General features: G+C 41.9%; 1 protein-coding gene across 16 annotated transcripts in view; it reads left to right on the top strand.

Annotated features, from left to right (window-relative positions):
- COL4A6 (collagen type IV alpha 6 chain) overlaps positions 1-21398 on the top strand; it is a 283845-nt gene that overhangs the window by 230502 nt on the left and 31945 nt on the right. For all 16 annotated transcript variants that reach the window (XR_001755650.2, XM_047441813.1, NM_001847.4 and 13 more), the window contains 14 exons: positions 2377-2439; positions 3262-3297; positions 3477-3518; positions 4545-4637; positions 5976-6029; positions 12378-12446; positions 13831-13875; positions 14370-14423; positions 15260-15329; positions 16377-16484; positions 17424-17564; positions 18461-18565; positions 20280-20440; positions 20930-21109. Coding sequence is in view for 15 of the 16 variants with exons in the window: in XM_047441813.1 (XP_047297769.1) it covers positions 2377-2439; positions 3262-3297; positions 3477-3518; positions 4545-4637; positions 5976-6029; positions 12378-12446; positions 13831-13875; positions 14370-14423; positions 15260-15329; positions 16377-16484; positions 17424-17564; positions 18461-18565; positions 20280-20440; positions 20930-21109 (1221 nt within the window). In the remaining variant the exon portion in view is untranslated. The remainder of the gene's footprint in view (positions 1-2376; positions 2440-3261; positions 3298-3476; positions 3519-4544; positions 4638-5975; positions 6030-12377; positions 12447-13830; positions 13876-14369; positions 14424-15259; positions 15330-16376; positions 16485-17423; positions 17565-18460; positions 18566-20279; positions 20441-20929; positions 21110-21398) is intronic.

Here is a 21398-nt window from a genome sequence, read left to right as displayed (position 1 = left end):
CCACATACACAGGCATGATATACAAACTGCTTCAATTTGGGGAGAGGGCATTTGGTGGCTAAGATATTTGTGATCAGCAAGGTGATCACAGGTGGCTAGTTATTTTCAAAACAATGTTCAGACTATCATTTATTTCTGGAGGCCCTTTGAACCCCTCCTTTCTCTTCCTCCTGTCTGAGTTCCAACCTTTCTTACCCTCTCCGCCCCTTATCCAGGCCCATGTCAAGTTATTCCTGCTCCACAATTGGAAATGGACCCTTGCATTTCACCAGACCATTTTTCTCTTGTGATTTCACTGTCTTATGTTTAACATTGTTGTTATTTGATTCAAAAATTTTCTAAGTTCCCTTATGATTTTTTCTTTGACCCATGGAATATTTAGAAGTGTGTTGCTTCGTGTCCAAATATTTAGTAACTTTCCAGCTATCTTTCTATTATGGATTTCTAGTTTGATTTTATTGTAATTACAGTGAACACTGTGTTATTTCAGTTCTTTTAAATTTGTCAAGGTTTATTTTATGGTCCAGCATACAGTCTATCTTGGTGAATATTCCATATGCACTTGAACAGAATATGTATTCAGCTGTTGCTGGGTATAATGATATTAAAAATATCCATTAGGTCAAGGTAATGGATATTATTGTTTGGATCTTCTATGTCCTTCCTGACTGATATTTTTGTCTAGTGTTTCTGTTCATTATGGAAGGAGGGATGTTAAGATGTCCAACTGTAATTGCAGATTTGACTGTTTCTACTTGAAGTTCTGTTAGTTTTTGCTTCATGTAATTTGAAGCTCTGCTATTATGTGCATAGGCATCTAAGATTGTTATGTCTTCTTGATAAATTGACCTATTTTATCATTTTGAAATGTCCTTCTTTATCTCTGATAATATTATTTGTCTCGAAGCCTACCTTATCTGATATTAATATAACTTTTGCTTTTTTAAAAAATTTTTTGTTTTTTTATAACATTCTAATAGGAAAAATTTCAAATATAGAGCAAAGTAGAGTGAATTTTGCAATGAACACACATACCATTAATATTTTACTATACATCATCCCTTGGTATCCATGGGAGATTGGATTCAGGACCTCTCATGGATACCCAAATCCATGAATGCACAAATCCCTCGTATAAAATGGTGTCATATTTGCCTGTAACCTATACACATCCTCCCCTATACTTTTAATAATCTCTAAGTCACTTATAATACCTAATACAATGTAAATACTATGTAAAAAGTTGTTACACTGTATTGTTTAGGGAATAGTAACAAAAAAGAATTTGCGTATGTTCCATACAGATGCAACCATCCTTTTATAAAAAAAAAATTTCAATCAGTTGGTTGAATCCACAGATGTGGAACCCACAGATACAGAGGGCCAACTGTACTTGCTTTATCCTCCTTCTATCTATCTATCCATCCCTCTCTCTGTCCATCAATCCATCCTATTTTTAAATTTTTATTTTAAGTTCTGGGGTACATGCACAGGACGTGTAGGTTTGTTACATAGGTAAACAACGTGTGCCATGGTGGTTTGCTGCACCTATCAACCTGTCACCTAGGTTTTAATCCCAGCATGCATTAGCTATTTTTCCTGATGCTCTCCCTTCCCCTACCCCACCCACCGACAGGCCCCAATGTGTGTTGTTCCCCTCCCTGTGTCCATGCATTCTCATTGTTCAGCTCCCACTTATAAGTGTGAACATGCGGTGTTTAATCCATCCTATTTTTAATGAATGTCAAAGTAAATAGTAGACAAGAGTTCAGTTACTCCTAAATCCTATAGCATGCCTATCTTTAATTAGACTTCAATATTTGTTTGCAGTTCTTTCTTTTTATATAAAATTTACATACAATGAAACACCTAACTCTTAAGTGTATGTTTGCTGAGTTTTGACAAATGCATACTTGTATGTAATCCAAACCTCTATTCAGGTATAGAACATTACTATCACCTCAGAAAGTTCCCTCCTGCTCATTCCCTGTCAATCTCTGCCCCAATTCACCCCAAAGGCAACCACAATCCTGATTTTTCTCCTTTATGCCAGTCCTAGAACTTCATGTAAAGGGAATGATATAAACTCTAGCCTTTTGGGTCTGGCTTTTCACTTAACACAGTGATTTTGAGATTAATCCACATTGTTTCATATATCAGTAGTTTGCTACTTCTTATTGTAGGCATTTATTCCACTGTTTGAATCTATCAGAGTTTATCCTTGTATCATTGGACAACTGGAACATTTCCAATTTTTGACTATTATGAATAAAGTTGCTATGAACATTCTTGTACAGTTCTCGTGGACATACATATTTTCATTTTTCTTGGAAAACTGCCTTGCTTTTTGAACTTGGTAAAAACTTGCCTCTCTAGGGCCCACAAGGAGCACCCGGATTTCCTGGAGCTGTAGGACCTGCAGGACCACCAGGATTACAAGTAAGATCAATTTAAGCCTAGTTTGTGATCACAGTGTTCACATGGTTGTTTTCCCTACATACTATGGATTCAATGTAAACCTGTGTAATTTAGGTCCTCCTGGGTGAGCAAGGGCAACCTCCATTCTTGGAGGGTTAAAGTAAAGCATGCTCTTGCGAGGAGCTATTGGAGTTATTTATCAGAGTCTATCTGACCATCCAATCTGTGCCTCTAAAGCCTCCCACCCTAGCTCAACCTAAAGTATAGCCCAGGGATGGCAGATCCCTGACACATTTCTTGCCACCTTCCATTTCCTCACCCATGACAGGTATTGCTAATTAATCATACCACCATCACTATCACCCACCCTGAATACTGAAGAAGCTTCAAATTCCTTCCTAACACTGCATCTTGGGCAGCTCTACCTACCTACCCATTTTTCTGACACAAAACCTGTTTATCATCACTGGTAGAGGAAAAGCATAGCCAGTCATCTATGTGGTTCTGGGAAAGCTGTGTCCCCAGATTGTTCTCTCCAGTGCAAGAAATCCCATTACTCAGTACTTTGGCTTAGCTTCACCAAAGGTCATCATTTTAAAATTTCTGGCCTGTTGGGAGGAATGACACATGAAGTCTTCACTACCTTAGCATTAATGTGATTACCAGGTCAATTTGGGGGATTTCAAAGGAGATAAAAGGGAACCATAGGAAAGACAGCTAGAATCTACTATGCCAAAGCAGGAAAGATGGCTGAGTTACTGGGGAGTGACTCTCAACATGCCGTGTTCTTTTTGACTGAAACTAACAAGTGCTAACTCTTTCTTATTTTTAAAAAAAATCTAGGGTCCTCCAGGGCCTCCTGGTCCTCTTGGTCCTGATGTAAGTATACTTTGTCTTAGGGCATTTTGCTTCCTACTCCTAAGTACTCTGGATTTCCCAGAGAGATACTGGTTTGGTTAACCCTACTTTCTGGTAAAAAAGATTGCATTCCAATTTAAGTTCCCAGAGCTTATTTAGTAATCGATTTTGTTTTTCCTCCCTATATCCCTATTCCCTAGGGGAATATGGGGCTAGGTTTTCAAGGAGAGAAAGGAGTCAAGGTAAACAGCTTTTAAAAAATACAGTCTGCCTTCCATATGCTGCAAGAAATGTGTCTGATTACACACATGTGCCTGCTTGTGTAAGAGGATTTGTTTTTTCGCCTTGGGAAATGAATATTTCCCAACCCACATAGATCCTCTGGTGGGATCTCTTGAGGGCTACATGTGTACATGCCACACATGGGCTATTGTGGTTCTTTTCCCTTCAAAATATTGTTATTTCCCTGCTTCCTACCTGTGAAAGGTGTATGTCTTACAAACATATTCCCTTGAAATAGATTCTTTCTCTTCCTTCCATCTGGGTCTTTCCTTGGTGTTTTGTGTATTCTGTTGCCTTCTCTTTCCTTGTCTCTGCTTCCCCTCTTCTCTCTACCCTTTCTCCTCCTCCCCCTCCTCCACTTCCTCCTCCTTTTCCTTTTTGTCCTCCTCTCTCTCTGTATCTCTCTCTCTCTCCTCTATCTCTCTTCTTTAACCTCTCTTTCACCATTCTCTTTTATTTCCCTCCTTCTCTCATTTCTCTCTTTACAAATTGCATTGTGATTTCAGAGCCTCAAGCGAGGCTGAGAACTTGCCATTCCCACCCTTCTGTTACAATTGCACTGCCTTCTGAAGGAACAACTCTTGCCTCCAATGTTCTAACATGAACATCATTGCCTCTGATTGTGCTCTTTGCAAGGATTAGACCACTTAGAGTTGGATCATTGTTGCCAAGAGGTAGCCATTCACCTCGTTCTGATTCCTTTTTTAATCTCTTCTAAACATCCTTTCATAGCAACCATGAACTTAAAGTTTCCTTCTATCCATCTTGCTCTTCCCTCTGCAGTGCTGGTACAAAATTCACTGGTCGGGCTTATAATTCTTCTCACCCTTTGGCAGTGAGAGTTTTGTTTCCTCATTGGCATGAGGGTGAAGAGGCCAAAGTAAGAGACAGTTTATTTGTGAGTTACATCCAGAGGACAAACCCCCACTCTGGAAAAACGGTCGGTGTGATTGTCACTTTGCTTAATGTTCCATTTGATCTTACAGGGGGATGTTGGCCTCCCTGGCCCAGCAGGACCTCCACCATCTACTGGAGAGCTGGAATTCATGGGATTCCCCAAAGGGAAGAAAGGATCCAAGGTAGTGAACATTTAAGAATAGGAAAAAATTAATAAAACTTTTCCTATAATTATAATACAAGAACTTAACTCTAATAACCAGACAATACTGGAAGAATAGAGGGTTCTGGGTAATGGATTTTTGTTTAGAAGTGAGAGTAAAAAGCCTTCTTTGTTTTGCCCCTTATGAAAAGCTTTCTTAAAAGGCTGAGTATGTTTCTTGGTGTGTAGGTTTGAGTGTGCCTGGGCATCTGAATATTCATTTAAGCGCTATTTTCTCTGTTTTAGTGTTGCAGATTCAATTTTTGATATGATGAATAACATAAACATTAAATAGTTGTGTTTTTCCTCCTAACTCCCAACCCTCTCAATACTTATGGTGTCCCCAAAGTACTGTGACAGAACACATAGGGTATGAATGGTTGCTCTTGAATTATCTTTTTAAAGAAGTTATTTGCTCTTAAAACTTGACCCTGAAAATAGGATATACTGTCACCAAGTGGTGACAAGAGATGCCCTAATTTACCAGATCTGAACTACCAAGGCTTACACTATAGACCTGTTTGACTGAAATATTTTACGATCTGTATTTTTATGTGAGTCACTGTATACTACCTACATGGTTGTAATTGAATGGCCGTGTACTGTTAAGGTGTGCAGATATCTTTCAGTAACTTGCATTTCCTGCCAGGGTTCCTTTAAGCTTTGTGATTCAGTTCCCATGGCCAAGGGGCCTAGGCAGGGAAATGTGTTTAGTCTCCTTTCTTTAAATTTGTCTTCGTGGAAGCTGTAACAACTCCAAGCCCCTCCAGGTTTACAGGAAGTAGTCGTTGATTTGGGAATGGTCTGGCAACATGAAAGAGATTGTCTGCTTCCTTGATCATTCCCAAAACTTAGGGAGCTTTTCCATGGCACGTATAGATAAATTCACATATCAGGGAATGACAGATCAGATGGTTATGTGTCCCTATCCAAATTGTAATTGTTACCCTTTTCCCAAAACTATGGATTTCTCTGCTGCCTCTAATTTGCTATAGGAAATTGTACTGAACAGCTTCTTCCACTAGAAAGAAAACAGACAATCATCCTTTCTGTCTCCCAATTAGCCTCAGTATTTGACATTCTGTTTTAGACAGTTATGGTCCATAATCCTTCTCCCACAGCAAAGAGCTCCATGAACTAAGACATCCTGGTACAGCTGCTAGTTAGGGAGCCTGGGGAATCTGCACCACTCTCTGCTACCCTAATCTTGATACTTCATTGGTTCCCCACTCCTCAGTCCAAGTACATGTGGAGAGCCATCCTACTGTGCGTTCACTGCTTCCTGATGCTACTTACTAACCTTGGGCTGATTTTCCAGGGTGAACCAGGGCCTAAGGGTTTTCCAGGCATAAGTGGCCCTCCAGGCTTCCCGGTAAGTCTCTCTATTTGATCAATATGTATACAAGGGTCTGATTGGACAAAAGCTGTAGCAATAGAAGGCTAACAGAAAGACCTCTTCCCATGGATATTGTAGAGAATGCCACCATCTTTATTATTAGAAGGTATTTAAGGAGATGTTCTTGTTTCTCAAACACATGGAGACGTAAGCATGGTTCTCCATGAGGCTGTATACCTTAGAGGTTATTAGCTCAAGCTCTATAGTTAAAACAGACCTAGGCTTGACTGCTGATTTTGCCAGTTTCTAACTATGTGAACCTGGATAAGTTTCTTAACTTTTCTGAGCCTCAGTTTCCTAACCTACAAAAAAGGGGAGAATGATGGGGTGGTTATGAGGATTAAATGAGATAATATGCATGAAAAGGGCTTACTACATGTCTAGCACTTATTATTCAGTTAATGGTAGCTAATCTTAGTAATCCTACCTCCACTTTCATATCTGCCTTTCTAGCTTAGATCCTTACACTCATCAGTTACCTTTTGAGGGTCCCTATGTGCCAGGCATTCTGCTGGACTTGGAGGTTACAACAGTAACTAAGTAAAAGTCCCTGTCCTTGAGATTACATTGTAATGGGGGAGTGAGGGAAAAAACAAACAAGAAACCAGTAAACAGATGAATCTATAGCAAGTTCATATAATGGTTATATAAGTTCATATATATAAAAGATGAAAGAAGGGTAAAGTGATGAAATGTGGATGGGGAACAGGGTGGTCTACTTGGGACAGAGTGGTCAAGAAGGGCCTTTCTGAGGAAGTGATGTATGAGCTGAGACCTGCATATTATGAGAGAGCACGTCTTGTGAAGATCAGAAAGAGGGTTTAAGGCTGAGGGAACCGTAAGTGCGAAGACCTTGAGGTTAAGAAAACCTCAGTACTTTTGAGGAACAGTAAGAAGGTGAGTAAGTGGAACAGAGTAAGCAAGGCTAATAATTCCAGACAGAGAAGTAGGAACCAGATCTTGGCTACCTTCATAGGTCAATGTGGTGTTTTATTTTTAATGTAATGGGAAGCCGTTCAAAGGCTCTGACTTGTATTGTTAAGATCACTCTGGCTGTGGGAGGAAGGGGAGAGGGAATGGGAAGGGTGGAAGAGCAAACACAGAGGGTATTGCAGTAGTCCAGGCAAGAGATGGTGGTGGTGACTTAGACTATAGTGACAGCAATGGAAATGGAAAGAAGTGGATAGATTCAAAATGTAAAAATGTTCAACCTTGTTATTAGGGAACATTTCAAACATTTACAAAAGCAGAGAGAATGTCATAATGATTCCTCGTGTACCCATCACACAGTTTTAATAATTAGCAATTTATGGCCAATCTGAAGCAAATCATATCATTTCATCACAAATACCTCTGAATATTTAAAAGGTAAGGGCTTTTTAAGACATAGTGACAATATCATCATCAGTAATTTGTGATCAGTAATTAATATCAGTTAACAAGGCAGAATTCAAATTTTTGATTGTCTTATAGGTATATATATATTTTTACAGTTGCCTTGTTTCAATGAGAGGCCAAACAAGACCAATACATTACATTTGTTTAATGTGTCTTTTAAATTACAAGATATGTTTTGAAACAGCTGACAAGATTTTCATGGATTGGGAATAGGGATCAGGTGGGAAATGGATGAATCAAAGATGACTAGGCCTGCCTGTGCTTGCTGGGCCAGTGGGGATAGATGACTCCATTCCTTCCCTACAGTACTTTGAGATAGTTTGGGTCTCTCTGGGTGGCCAGAAAGCAGAGCCAGTGGAGCCAGTGGCACAGGTTCCTTCTATGATGATTCTTATTACTCCATAGAAATAAAGGGGGCATGGAAAATCATCTGTTCAATGCACTTGATTTTAATCACCTCTGTATCTAATGAACCAGAAAGGAAGAGAACCCTAGTGTTGGAGACAGAACACCCAAACTTTAGACCCAGCCCCTGCTCTGGGACTTTGGCAAGTCACTGAACCTCTCTTTATATCTGTAATTTGACAATGGTCATATTTATACTTTTTATTAATAGAAAATATTTCTACATATTTATAGGGTACATGTGATATTTTGTTACATGCACAGACTGTGTAATGGTGAAGTTAGGGTATTTAGGATATCCATGACCACAAACATTTATCATTTCTATGTGTTGGGAACATTTCAAATCTCTCTTCTGGCTACTTTGAAATATACAGTACATTGTTGTTAACTGTAGTCACCCTACTCCACTATCGAATACTAGAACTTATTCATTCTGTCTAACTGTATGTTTGTACCCATTAACCAACCTCTCTCCATCTCTCCCCCCACCCCACACTCACACCATTTCCAGCCACTGGTATTATTCATTTTAATTTCTACCTCCATGAGATAAATTTTTTTAGTTTCTGCATATGAGTAAGAACATGCATATAGCTACTCTTTTAAGACCCAACTAATAATGTATGCGAAGTTTCTTTACAAAATATAAGGCTGTCCTGTTCAATAAGATAACAGCCAGCCATGTGTGGCTACTGAGCCCTTGAAATGTGGCTGATCTGAAATGAGATGTACTGTAAGTATAAAATACACACCAGATCTCAAAAACGTAGTATGAAAAGAAATCTAGAATATCTCAGTAACATTTTTTACTTGTGTTAAAATGACAATATTTATTATATATTTGGTTAAGTAAAATATATCATTTAAATTAATCTCTGTTTACTTTGCTTTTTTAATGTGGCTACTAGGAAAATGAAAATAACATAGTAGCTCACATTATATTTCTATTGGACAGTACAGATATAAAGTACTTTGCAAGTGAGTTTGGGAATAAGGTTTTCACCTTTCTTTGTAGAGCATTTCACATAGATTCTAGCCACCTGGCATTGTCCCTGTGAGGTAAGCAAGGTGAGCCAGGCTTATCTTCCTTGTACTGATGAGGAAACCACAGCCTCAACGGGTGAAGAGGTTTGTCCAGAATCACGCAGCTAATTATTAGCAGAGCTGAGATTGAAATTCAGCTTTCTTGAATTCTAGCCAATTTGGTGGCTTTTTCCCCATACCATACTGCCCCCTACAGTCCAGTTTGCTCTAATCCCTGCCGTGGTGGGGTTTTTATCTGTAAATCTCTGAAAAGGATTTTATGATCTCCTCTGGTGTTATTGGCTTCACTGGCTCACACTGCCTCCCTCCCCTTCCCTTCCACATCCGAACCCAGAGTATTTCCCCTGCTGCAATTTCAACCCATTCCCTTTTGTCCTGTAAAAGAAAGAGACTGACGACAATGCACGGTGATAAATTGCAGTACCATTTCAAACTCAGTATTTCCAGTGTTTCAGAGTGTGGGCTGAAAAATAGAAACCCCAGTTGATTGTAAAGACATCAAAGCTAGAAAATAACCCCTTTACATGGAACAGCATGTTTTCATACGGTGGGAATTAAGAAACCAGAGTTCTCAGCCCACTTTGGCACAGATTCAATGTGTGACCTTGGCCAAATCAGGTAACTCCTTCAGTCCTCATATCTCTATCTGTTTAATGGGAACATTCGTAGGTACTTTATATGAATGGCTTATGACAGAAAAGTTATGAGGAGAAAGGTGGTAATGTATTTGTGATACTCTGGGCTTTTCAGAGGAAATGTGCTTCTCAAATCCAAAGCCTTCACATCAGCTTTCAATTATCCACACTCACCGAGAAACAAGGCAGCACTGAAGACAGAAATCTCTAGGGAATCCAAAATGTTCCTTTTAACTATTTGTTTTCTTCCTATATGAGTCCAAATCTTTGTAAGAGACAAAGTGCCCAACCTGACAGATTTGCCCCTTACCTTCTTTCTCTTGGCCCCTCTGCAGTGACCAAACATCCCTGATTTTCTGGCTCAGTCCTCACCTCACACATTTTATCCCATTGTCTCCAGCAACACACTCACACTTGTAGGCCACAGGTCCTTCCATGGAGGTCATCAGAGAGAATTGTATATCCATGTGCCCTCTGTTCAAGGGACTAGCAAACACAGGGGAAGGCAAAAATGGAATAGATGAGGGGAGGGATAAGAGAAGAAACTGGCAAATCCTGAGGTAACTATTGAGTAGGTCAATAGTTACCCACACACCTACCCAGTAGGGGTAACTACTAGGTAGGTGGGGTTCTTCAGTTGAGCCTCCTGAGAACCAAAGAGCATCAGGAGTCCAGAGCCCAGGAGAGCAGGCCTGGAAACAGTTAACCTAGCCCCATTGAGGCTTTCCAGGCCATGGGTAAGTAGGAGTGTGGGAGCAGCATTTGCAAGATTACTCATGAGGAGGACTGACTGTCACGGGGCCAGTCCCAGGGCATCTTGCTAGAACAGCTTGTTCAGCAGGGTCCCTGTACAGTGCCTCCCTATTCTGGGAGACAAGTTGAACCTACAGCACAGCCAGTGTCTTGCCAAGCTATTTATCTTTTCTTGGCTCTAACCCCCACACAAATTTGTCTTTTTTTTTCCTTTTTACATTTTTTTTTACATATTTATTTTTGTTCACACTATAGCATAAGCTCTCAGGCCCTCTGAGAAAGCAAGACTCTTCTGCTTTCTGGAGAAGGAGTACAAGGCCCCCTTATATTTACAACTGAGGGCAAGATAGATGGGGGCACAAGATGGTTCCTGAACATCATTTCCTTCACCCTTTGCAACAGTTTTGTTCTCTTGGCCATTATTCCATTCAGTTCAACAAGTATTTACTGGACCACCTTGTATGTGTTCAGACTGTAGTAATGGGCCTTGGAGAAAGATAAAAGAGAGTGTAATATAGGTCTCATGCTTACAAAACTTTCATATGCAACCATTCTTTGCACTTTAAGAGTTTCGGGCAGCATGGGCTGCCACAGATTTCATGGACAGGTCAGAGAAGGCTTCCTGAAGCGTTTGACCTCAGAAGCCAATAGACATTCCACCAAGTCGCAGCATGCCTTGGTTTGATGCAGAAAAACTCATATTTTAAATAAGTTTGCATTCAGTTTAACCCACGAGCCTTTCACATTAGAAATTTAATGTAGCATGAAGGCTGAGCTATTTGATGCACAGTTATACTAAATGCAGAAAAGAGAACAGGTAAGTACGGGACCAAAGCCTGCTTTGAATTGGATCCTACACACACACACACACACACACACACACACACACACACTCCTCCCAATAAAAAGACAATGAAAACAACCCACATTAAAGAAACAAAAACATGACTAGCCAAAAGGAAACAGAAATGAAAAACCCTGGGCCCAGAAAGCCAAGGGGTCCTTAACCAGCTTTCAGTACTCATGGGAGTGCACTGAGTATGTATGTAAAAGGAAGAAAAAGGTACAAATGGGATTTGAGCAGGTGAGCCAGGTCACATTAAAGGGACAACAGATGTTCCACAACATTTAGTGCCTTTTCTTCATTGCCTCCTTTACTTTCATAATAAGCCAAGATGTTGTTTGCTAAATCTATGCTCCAAAAAGTACAATTTTAAACAACAACAAAGTGGCCTCATTTAAGTTTTCTGTGAAAAACATTATTCACTTTAGTACTGAACTATTCTGTATCTTGGGGGCCCAGACATTTTCCCTGGACCCAGAGGGAAGTTCTCTCTTACTCACTCTGCTTCTTGGAGTTCCTGCTTTTCCCTAGAGAATCCCCAAGTCATATTCATGGCTACAAACCCTCACCTCTGATGAGCAGGGCAAGAGGGCTTGGAGACCATCTCACAGTCCCCTTTGGACTATCTCTAGGGCCAGGCAAGAGCCCTACAGTCCCAGTACAGGAGCTGCAGGGTTTCAGTCCGTGCCTAGATAGAAATACTTCTTACCACTGAAAAGGATGTTGTGCTCATTATGTCTCCAAAGGGGAAAAGCTCTTGCTCTTCCCCCTAGTATCAACCCCCAAGAATTTGCATAATCCTCCATTTGTGGGTCAAATCATCAAGTTCCTAGATGATAGAAGGCAGCTTGTTTTAATGGAAAAGTCCCCGGAATGAAAAACACAAGATATGGCTTTCTCATTCATTTTTAACCCATCTAGATGTTGGTTTCCTCATCTGTAAAATCAACAAGGTTAGATATTTAATCATTTCTATACTGTTAGCCCATGATACTATAAATACATGGAACAGTGTTGTGGGTAGGGGGAGACATTACTTCTAGAACCAAAAGGGAACCTTGAATGAATGGTCCAATTTATATTCAGACCCTATGTGCTTCTCAGGCAGTGACAAGAGACAGCATGGTGAGCCTCCCTAAGGGGAGAGTGGAGCTTAATTAAAATAGCCTCCTTGCTTTGGATGAAGCCAGGAGACCGACAAGAAAACAAACGTTATAACTTGTGGTTTCTTTTTTCATTTAGGGCCTTGGAACTACTGGAGAAAAGGGAGAAAAGGGAGAAAAGGGAATCCCTGGTTTGCCAGGACCTAGGGTATGAACCTCGAATGTTACTTGCCTGGGTCTGTCAAGTCATCTAGTCCATTTTCTTTCCTGTTTGCTTCTTTATGTTTTGCAACTTGATTGCCACCTAAGCTTCTCGTTTCTCCTCAACCCAATGGCAGGTTCCTAAGACCTCCTTCTCTCTTAGCCCCATTCCCTTGATTGAATGGCTCCCTTGAAAAGGAATGAGGCACCCCCTACTCTAGGTGGCTCCTCAGCCTATTCATCTCCTTGCTCTCATGTATCATTGTCTTCTGGGCTAAAGAATGATACCAAGAAAGAATGATTGCTAAAGAAAGCAAGGCAAGTGTTGCCTTGCTTTCATTCCATTCTATTCTGAGGGAATTGAGCAGGGAAGTGGCACAGGAATGGAAGAAAGAGGGCCAAGTGCAACCTTTATAGGACAGAAACAAGCCTGGAAAGTTCTAGAACATAGTGAGTGATGTTTGGAGTCAACAGTTTCCAATAATAATCTCATTTGAAATGGAAAAATAACTATTAGCCTCTCTGATTCCTAGCTTCGGGCACTTAGGTCTTGAGCTAGAAGCAGTGGGCCAAGCTTAGCCTCAAAGAAGTAACATTTTAGAGAATTGTGTTGTTAAGTTGACTATGAAGTTTAGTAAGAGTCTTTTGAGTATTCAGCCATACTTATCCATTACCCTGCCATTTCTTTCTCTACTTTCCCCCGCTCCTTGTCTTGAAAATACATATAATCACCAACAAAGAATGCATTTGAGGTGGAAGACGAGGCCCTCCCATAATCTATTTAAAGATCTCCTGACTTGGAACTAATGCAGACTAAGTATAATACCACCCAGCCTTTCTATCAAATTCCACCTACTACTTAAACTGTTTCCATTTATTTAGATATTAAAAAATGCTCCATGTGGCTATTTAGCCTGATGGATTAGAGCTTAGAAAGAAGTCATTAGGCCAGGCACGGTGGCTCATGTCTGTAATCCCAGCACTTTGGGAGGCCAAGGCGGGTGGATGACTTGAGGTCAGGAGTTCGAGACCAGCCTGGCCAATGTGGTGAAACCCTGTCTCTACTGAAAATACAAAAATTAGCCAAGCGTGGTGGCGCACGCCTATAGCCCCAGCTACTTGGGGGGCTGAGGCAGGAGAATCGCTTGAACCCTGGAGGCGGAGGTTGCAGTGAGCCGAGATTGTACCACTGCACTCCAGCCTGGGTGACAGAGTGAGACTCCATCTCAAAAAAAAAAAAAAGTCGTTAAGCTAGGTCTAGGAACATTCGCTTACCTGATTTTAGGAGCTGCTAAATCCTGAACTCAGTTGGATAACTTTGTTATATAAGTCTAGTGGCTTTTTCTAGGTAGCCTATTGCTGTTTCTAAGGTGTAACTATTTTCTTTACAGGGTCCCATGGGTTCAGAAGGAGTCCAAGGCCCTCCAGGGCAACAGGTATTTTGGTTAATATCATTAAAGCCTTGGGGTATAAAATCCCAATCAAAAGTCCCCCTTGCTTTACCTAACATGGCCAAAGGGAGACATTACTTATAATGCAAATTGTTCATCTCCCTTTTTTTTGGTATAATCTTAGCCACTGTCCTCTTTTCTTTTCACTCAAGAACATGGGTATCCAGTGTCAAATTCCGTGCCTTGCCATGCCATGCTGTGGTCATACATCTTTGGCATGCTGTCAGGGACTAGCAAGGCCAGCCTGCTTGTATCCGTGTCTAGCCTTATGGCCCTTGTACCTCCTAATATGTAAATTGGCTACCTACTGCCGTATTGTCTTCTGGAAGATTTTACAGCTTCCAGAGTCAGATAGAAGCCACATATACCCTGCAATGTCATCCAAGATCCCTGTGCCATTTGCCCTGGCTTAATCCAAAGACCAGACTCTCTTATGCTCTCATACTTTCCACTTAGTGGTAACTATGTTTCTGTCACAGGGCAAGAAAGGGACCCTGGGATTTCCTGGGCTTAATGGATTCCAAGGAATTGAGGTAATGTTGGGAAGTGAAAAATCCAGGGTTGGTAGGTAGAAGAGTGAATTACCACAAATGTCTGTATATAAGATGAAGTATTTTTAATATTTTGACCTTTTAAGTTTCAATTTTTTCTTAAGAAATGCATGTAATCTGCTTTGAACACACAAAGCTGCTAATGAGCATTTCTTAGATACTACTTGATCAGTGGTAAACTAAGGGGCAGGAGCTGGTGGGAGCAAGTTCATCCCGAAGATGAGGAAAATTTTATTCATATTGCTTAGAATTGCCAACTGTTGGTTTCACTATTGTTTTAAATTCTCTACAGACAATGCATCCCCTTTTTGCCTACACCTGGAGCATATAACTGCCACCATCACACCCTGAATATGCCACTGTATGTGTTTTTGGTACCTAAATCCCTCTTTGGGGAGTATTAGAATTCCTTTAATTTCCTCTGCCTGACATCATCCACTAACAAGGGTTGTGATGGTAGTAGAGGCCCAGGCCTGTTGAGAGTGGAAAAAAGTTAAAACTCTGTTCTCTCCTTAGCACTACTTAGGTACAGCCAAGGCCCAGAGCAGACTGTCCTTGAGTAGAGTTGCAAAATAAAATTGGGATCCCTTGTCCTTGACAGGTTTCCAATTGAATGTTAGGCCTCTGGCCTGCTTTGTGTCACCTTCATCTTAAATTTATGGGACTTTGAAATTAACCTATGGACTAGTTGATCTTGAAAATCTGGGGTTATAGAAGGAAGAACCTTTCATTTTCCTAGGGATGGGCTTTAATGGCACATAGATCTTGGGTAATAAGGAAATGGAAATATTTGTGTTTAATGTACTTAATCTTTGCAGGGTCAAAAGGGTGACATTGGCCTGCCAGGCCCAGATGTTTTCATCGATATAGATGGTGCTGTGATCTCAGGTGCAACTTCTCATTAATTTGAGTGGAAAATAAAGACAGGAAGTTAAATCCTATATCCCCTGTAATTATTAAAAGGATACTTTGTTAGTTACTCGATTGTTGCTAAACTTGACACACCCAAGAGCCCCTCATGGCTCCTGAGCTTGGGGAATAAAGCTATCTCCAATCTCTTGGTCAGGGAAGCCAAGCCCAGCACCCCATTTTTGTGTTCAGTCCACTAAGCCTAGGATTTGGGTCTGCCTGGGCCTGAATTTGATGAAAATGGTTCTCCTGGCAATGCTTTGGGAAGGATTGATAACCACCCCCAAGCTGGGCTGACTTCAGTTTGATACTATGGAATACTCAGGGCCTCATGTAGGTGATTCCATGTATGCTTGAGCTTGACAATTTCATAGGAAGTGGAAAAGTACCTTTAGTTAGGGGAGCAAGTGGCTGAGAGCCCTCAAGAGTGTGATGCTTAGAAAGTCTGTCTTCACCTCTCCTTGTCCTAGTTATTTTGTGTGCCCAACTCTTCCCTTTACCTTCTCCAAAGACTGAGATGCCCAGTATCTCCAGCTACCTCTTGTTTGACCAAAGGCTTCTACTGTAGTGACTCTTCCATGGATCTTCCAACTTATCCCTCTCCTCTCATCCTCTAAGGCCCATGCCCTGTTTGGTATTAATATTTGACAGTGGCTTCCTGTGTACCACTCCCAGGAAACATATATGTATAACGTAAATAGTGGACTTCAACATCTTAATCCAAATGGTAGACATTTTAGGCATTACAGCAGATTAGTGGTAGAAGAAGAAGAAGTACTTACCAGAGCTTATCATGAAAGGCAGGCCTTGGCCAGAACAATTCTTAGTACACTAATTTTGGCTCCAGAAGGCCCCTTGGCTCCAGAAGACCCATTATCATGTGAGGCCATTAGCATTAGAGACTTGGGAAAGGCATGAAAGGCACTTCTAATGCCAGGACAGCTCCTGCACCTCTTCTTGGGCATTTTGTAGCATCTGTGGGCCTCCTCTGTCTTTATTTACTATTTTCTTTCATTACAATGCCAGGTAATCCTGGAGATCCTGGTGTACCTGGCCTCCCAGGCCTTAAAGGAGATGAAGGCATCCAAGGCCTACGTGGCCCTTCTGGTGTCCCTGGATTGCCAGCATTATCAGGTGAAAAAAACTAACCCATTTCCTACACAGATCAGTCCTCTATACACTGTGGTTCCCAGCATTCCCTTCTATACCTCTGGGTCGGGGCACACACCTAGCCAAAGTCAAACAAGAGGTAGACTGTAGTCAGTAGGTTCCCGACTGCCAGCCCAAGGCTAACGTATGTGGGGGTAGTGAGGGCCTGGGTGAGCAGCTTTTGTTTTTGGCTTAAATAATGTATCATAGCTGGACAGGCAATCCTAGACTGTCACTGAGGTTTGCAGCAACAAGAGGAGTCCTGGGTTGAGTTGCTGGAGCTGTGTCACCCTCCTGTGGATGTGCCATCCCAGCTGATGCTTGCCAAGAGGGGCTAGCAAAAGCCCAGAGGAAGATTTGTACCCAGAACCTTGCTGTAGGATTCAGCCAGGCACTGAATGGTCCCAGGATCTTGTGGGTAACACTCTTGAACTAATCACATCCATATGTCATTCTATAGTGACATGTGGGAAAAGGGCATGCCAGAGTCTGGGAGGCAGTGATGCCCCAGATATAAAGTTCAACTTTTACTTTTAAAGCCACCAGTTTCTAAATTCCTTGGAGATGGGCTGCTGTGAGGATACCTATGTTTTTAAAGCAGCCACCTGGAAATGGTACAGCTGGCCCCAGGACCAAGTTGGAAAAAAATCAAGAAATGAAAGGCTAGAGACCCAGATTTTCCTCTCAGGTTTGCCACTGAGAAATGCTGGGCCCCTGATCATGTTTCCTCTCTTCTTTGGGTCTCTGTTTCCCAAGAGGTTAGGCTAATTGATCCCTAAGGATCCTTCTAACTCTGATACAAGAGAAGGGCAAATGCTTCCCTAAATTCTTCCTTGGATTTGTTTCCAACATATGCCACAGATAGGAATACTCCAGAGAGTAAGGTGATATAATGAGCATTTGTGTGTGGGCTTATTCTTCCAGGTGTCCCAGGAGCCCTAGGGCCTCAGGGATTTCCAGGGCTGAAGGGGGACCAAGGAAACCCAGGCCGTACCACAATTGGAGCAGCTGGCCTCCCTGGCAGAGATGGTTTGCCAGGCCCACCAGGTCCACCAGGCCCACCTAGTAAGTTACTCATTTCTCTTTTTGGTCTCAAGATTCAGATGTGATCCAGACTGCAGAACAGTCATGATTTTTGAGGGGGCATCTCACAGGTGAAACAGCTAAGCCAGGATACATGATAATTGCAGAGGGGCAGCCATGAAGGCCCCGTCGTCTCTGAGTCAGATCCCTGCCTCTACCAGTTATTGATAACAGCAGAGTGTTCTCCATCAAGGAACAAGCAAACTAGGGCCTAATGCCTTCCAAGTTTTGTACCCATTCCCACTCCATCTTTCACTGTTCTCAGCCCTTAAGCCTTTGTTTTTTCAGCTCCTAAAGAAGCAGGATTGGTTCTTTTGAGCTTGCCCTGGTCCACAAGGCTCCAATGGGGTGGGCTGAGAGACTGAGAAAAAAAGAAGCCAAGCCTGGACCCTCGAGGTGGCTGCTAAAAGCCTACACAGGGCTTATCCTTCTTAGATCTCCTACTTGAGTGTGAGATTCTAGATTCTGAGAGAAAAGCTGGAAATGTTGCCCAGAATGTTTCTCTGTACCTTAAAGCCCATGTCCACTGCGGCTTGCACCTCTTTCCTCTTTTGTCCTAGGGGAGGTTTCTGGGGTAGACATTGGGACTGCTGAGTTTTGGAAGCTACCTTGTTCATTCCTCTAACCCCACTGTCTAATACGGTGCCTGGAACATAATGGACATTCTGTAAATATTAGTAGAGTGAATTGAGCCAACAGAGGTCCTGTTGACTCCTTGCTGCAGATTTGGGGTCCCGGTCTTGAATTTTATTTTTTTGTCTCTGCTCTGTTGTTCAGCCTCAAGGACTTGGGCCTTGGTGATTGAGCTGCTGTGTTGAGTCAGGGAAGTCATCAGGCTTATACAAGTTGCTAATCCTTTATCTTTTTTTTACCCAAAGGTCCAGAATTTGAGACTGAAACTCTACACAACAAAGAGTCAGGGTTCCCTGGTCTCCGAGGAGAACAAGGTCCAAAAGGAAACCTAGGCCTCAAAGGAATAAAAGGTGATTTTGTCCCCTTGAGTTTCTTGGTCCTCCAAACTCCTTAGAGAAGGCTTCCTGGGGAATGAGAAAACCAACAGCCTCGGGAACCTAAACAGAAGCAACTGTGGATCTTGTTTGGGGCTTTGATTATAGGATTGTTAGAAGTGCTATATTTGGGTCTCTAAGACTGAGGCTGGCAATGGAGGTCACACAGGACCAAGTTGCTCACAGGCTTCTTTTTCTTTCTCCTCCACCTGCAGCCCAGGCTGTTAACCAGTGCATGCTGCTACCCCTCCCAGTTTGCAAAACCAAGGATGTAAGCCACTTATTACCTTCAGCCTTAAGCAAAGTGCTCTAAACAGGTCAAGACCTGGGACTCTGAAAAACCCAACTGGCTCCAGGAGAACAACCCTAGCCCCCACTGGTGTTGGAGAACTGATCAATGACCACAGCTGCCTTTGGGTCATTTCCCCCTTCTATCACTTACTCTGAGGGGAAGATGCTCAATAAGTCAATTAATTATGGTTGTGGCTTAGGCCAGGGGAAGGAAGAAGTGAAACTACTGACTGAAGAGGGGTTTTGGGATGGCCTAGGGTTCAGTTATGCAAGATCTCTAGGAATGAACTGCTTTCCTCAGCCTCAAACAGAGATGTTCTAACTTACTCCTCTCCTTTCTCATTGCTCCATCATAAAATGTCATTACCTAAGTATATAGAGTCTGGTTAAGAAATGCCTGAAAGCTTGTTCTCTGCTATTCAGGTCCCAGGAAAACTATTTGATGGAAAAGGGCATTAAGTTAACTTAGATGTTAATTTTGGCCCTTACCTAACTCACTACAAAGCTGATGTATTTCTTGATACCATTCACAGTCCTAAAAGAGGGACATTTCTGATGCTCCCCATTCTGTATTTCCATGGGGCTGAAAGATTTTCTCTAAGTATGGAATAGTGATAGGGATTATCAAGCTTCATTATACATGAGAATCACCCAGGGGAGGTTATTAAAAATTAGATTATTTGGTCTGGCCTCCTGAGACTGATCGATTAGGACTGAGATAGGACCCAGCAAGCTGCCTTATAAATAAGCATCACAGATGATTCATGCAGGATCACACTCAAGAAACACTAATCTGAAGAACAGACTATTCTCTTAGAGTTTTAGGAATCATCAATTTTCTTAAAGTAAGAAGGGGCCCTTCAGAATCTTAGGGAAACTCAGGGTCACCTATGTTGGCACCAATTCTTATTTTCCAGACAATAAGCATGGAAGATATAGGGAGTTAGAACATAGTGCTAGTGACTCCTTGATACCTCTTCAAAGGTGCTTTGCTGAAATCCCTATCATTATTTATTTGGCATTTGTCTCAACATTTACAAAAATATGTACACATTTGTGTCATATGTACAAAAGTCAGGGGAAAAGACATTTTGGTAAAGAAAATCTTTGAGCGGCTTGAATTCCAGACTCTCAGCTGGTTAGTAGAGGTCAGTGGTTCTCAACTATGGCTATACTTTAGACTCACTGATGGCTGAGCCTCATCCCTGACTAACAAAATCTGAACCACTAACACAGACATACTCTGCTGGAGAGTGAACCAAGTTCATTTGAGTGTGTTCTCTGCAAGCCTTCAGATTCCCTCTATGGAGTTGTTCAAGTCACAAATAACCATGATCAATTCTTTATTCTTCTTGGAAAAAAATGACCCACTTCGTTCTATGTTGTCTTTTTCTCCCAGGAGACTCAGGTTTCTGTGCTTGTGACGGTGGTGTTCCCAACACTGGACCACCCGGGGAACCAGGCCCACCTGGTCCATGGGGTCTCATAGGCCTTCCAGGCCTTAAAGGAGCCAGAGGAGATCGAGGCTCTGGGGGTGCACAGGGCCCAGCAGGGGCTCCAGTAAGTCTTGCCAAACTTTGACCCTGAGGAAGCAATGGAATCTTTCAAGTGCCCTTCAATCCCCCCAGTTACTTTTCTAAAGCACATACAAGAGAGATGGGATTAAAACAAAGTTTTGGGGTTTTGATCTACAACATGAAATCTGACTATAGAGTCTCTTAAAGTCCTTTCTGCTTTAACCTACCTATTTTCCCTTTTCTCTTTCCACAATTTCTTCCTTCCACAACATTGTTTACCTTTGCCTAGCAATGTGCTGGCCCATGAAGATAAAATAGGAATTAAGGTGAGGTTTACATCTTCAAAGATTTCAAAATTTACAAAAGGTGCAGAAATAAATGGGCAACTATTATTCAAGATTACAACATAATCAGTGTCTAGAACAGTGCCAATATGTACCCAAGGTTCTGCTCTAAGTCATAATGCTAGGTGCCGGAATTCTATGAAGTCTACATCTTCTGACTACTCCCTCTTCTCTCTTTTCTTTGTCAGGGCTTAGTTGGGCCTCTGGGTCCTTCAGGACCCAAAGGAAAGAAGGGGGAACCAATTCTCAGTACAATCCAAGGAATGCCAGGAGATCGGGGTGATTCTGGCTCCCAGGGCTTCCGTGGTGTAATAGGAGAACCAGGCAAGGACGGAGTACCAGGTTTACCAGGTCTGCCAGGCCTTCCGGTAAGTTGATCGTTCCTAGGTGATTAGCTCTACAGATCTTCACACCTGACTTTGTTGGGGGGTCTGATGGCCACTGGACCATGAAACAGGGAAGAACAGAGTCTAGAGGACCTTGCCCTGCCTCTGCCACTGAAACTTTTTGCTTTTTGCTTTTCCTTTATGTAAAGTGGGAATCATTTTCTCAGAATGGATCATTGTCTCATTTGATAAATGCTAGTAACACCTGACCATATGACTTAAAAATACTTCAGCTTCTCAGTGACTTTTCTCCTCAAGTAATCTAGCCACT

Source organism: Homo sapiens, chromosome X (genome assembly GCF_000001405.40).
Source record: "Homo sapiens chromosome X, GRCh38.p14 Primary Assembly".
NCBI lineage: Eukaryota > Metazoa > Chordata > Mammalia > Primates > Hominidae > Homo > Homo sapiens.
The sequence above is the reverse complement of the archived record's forward strand: the minus strand, read 5'-3'. Positions and strand labels throughout refer to the sequence as shown.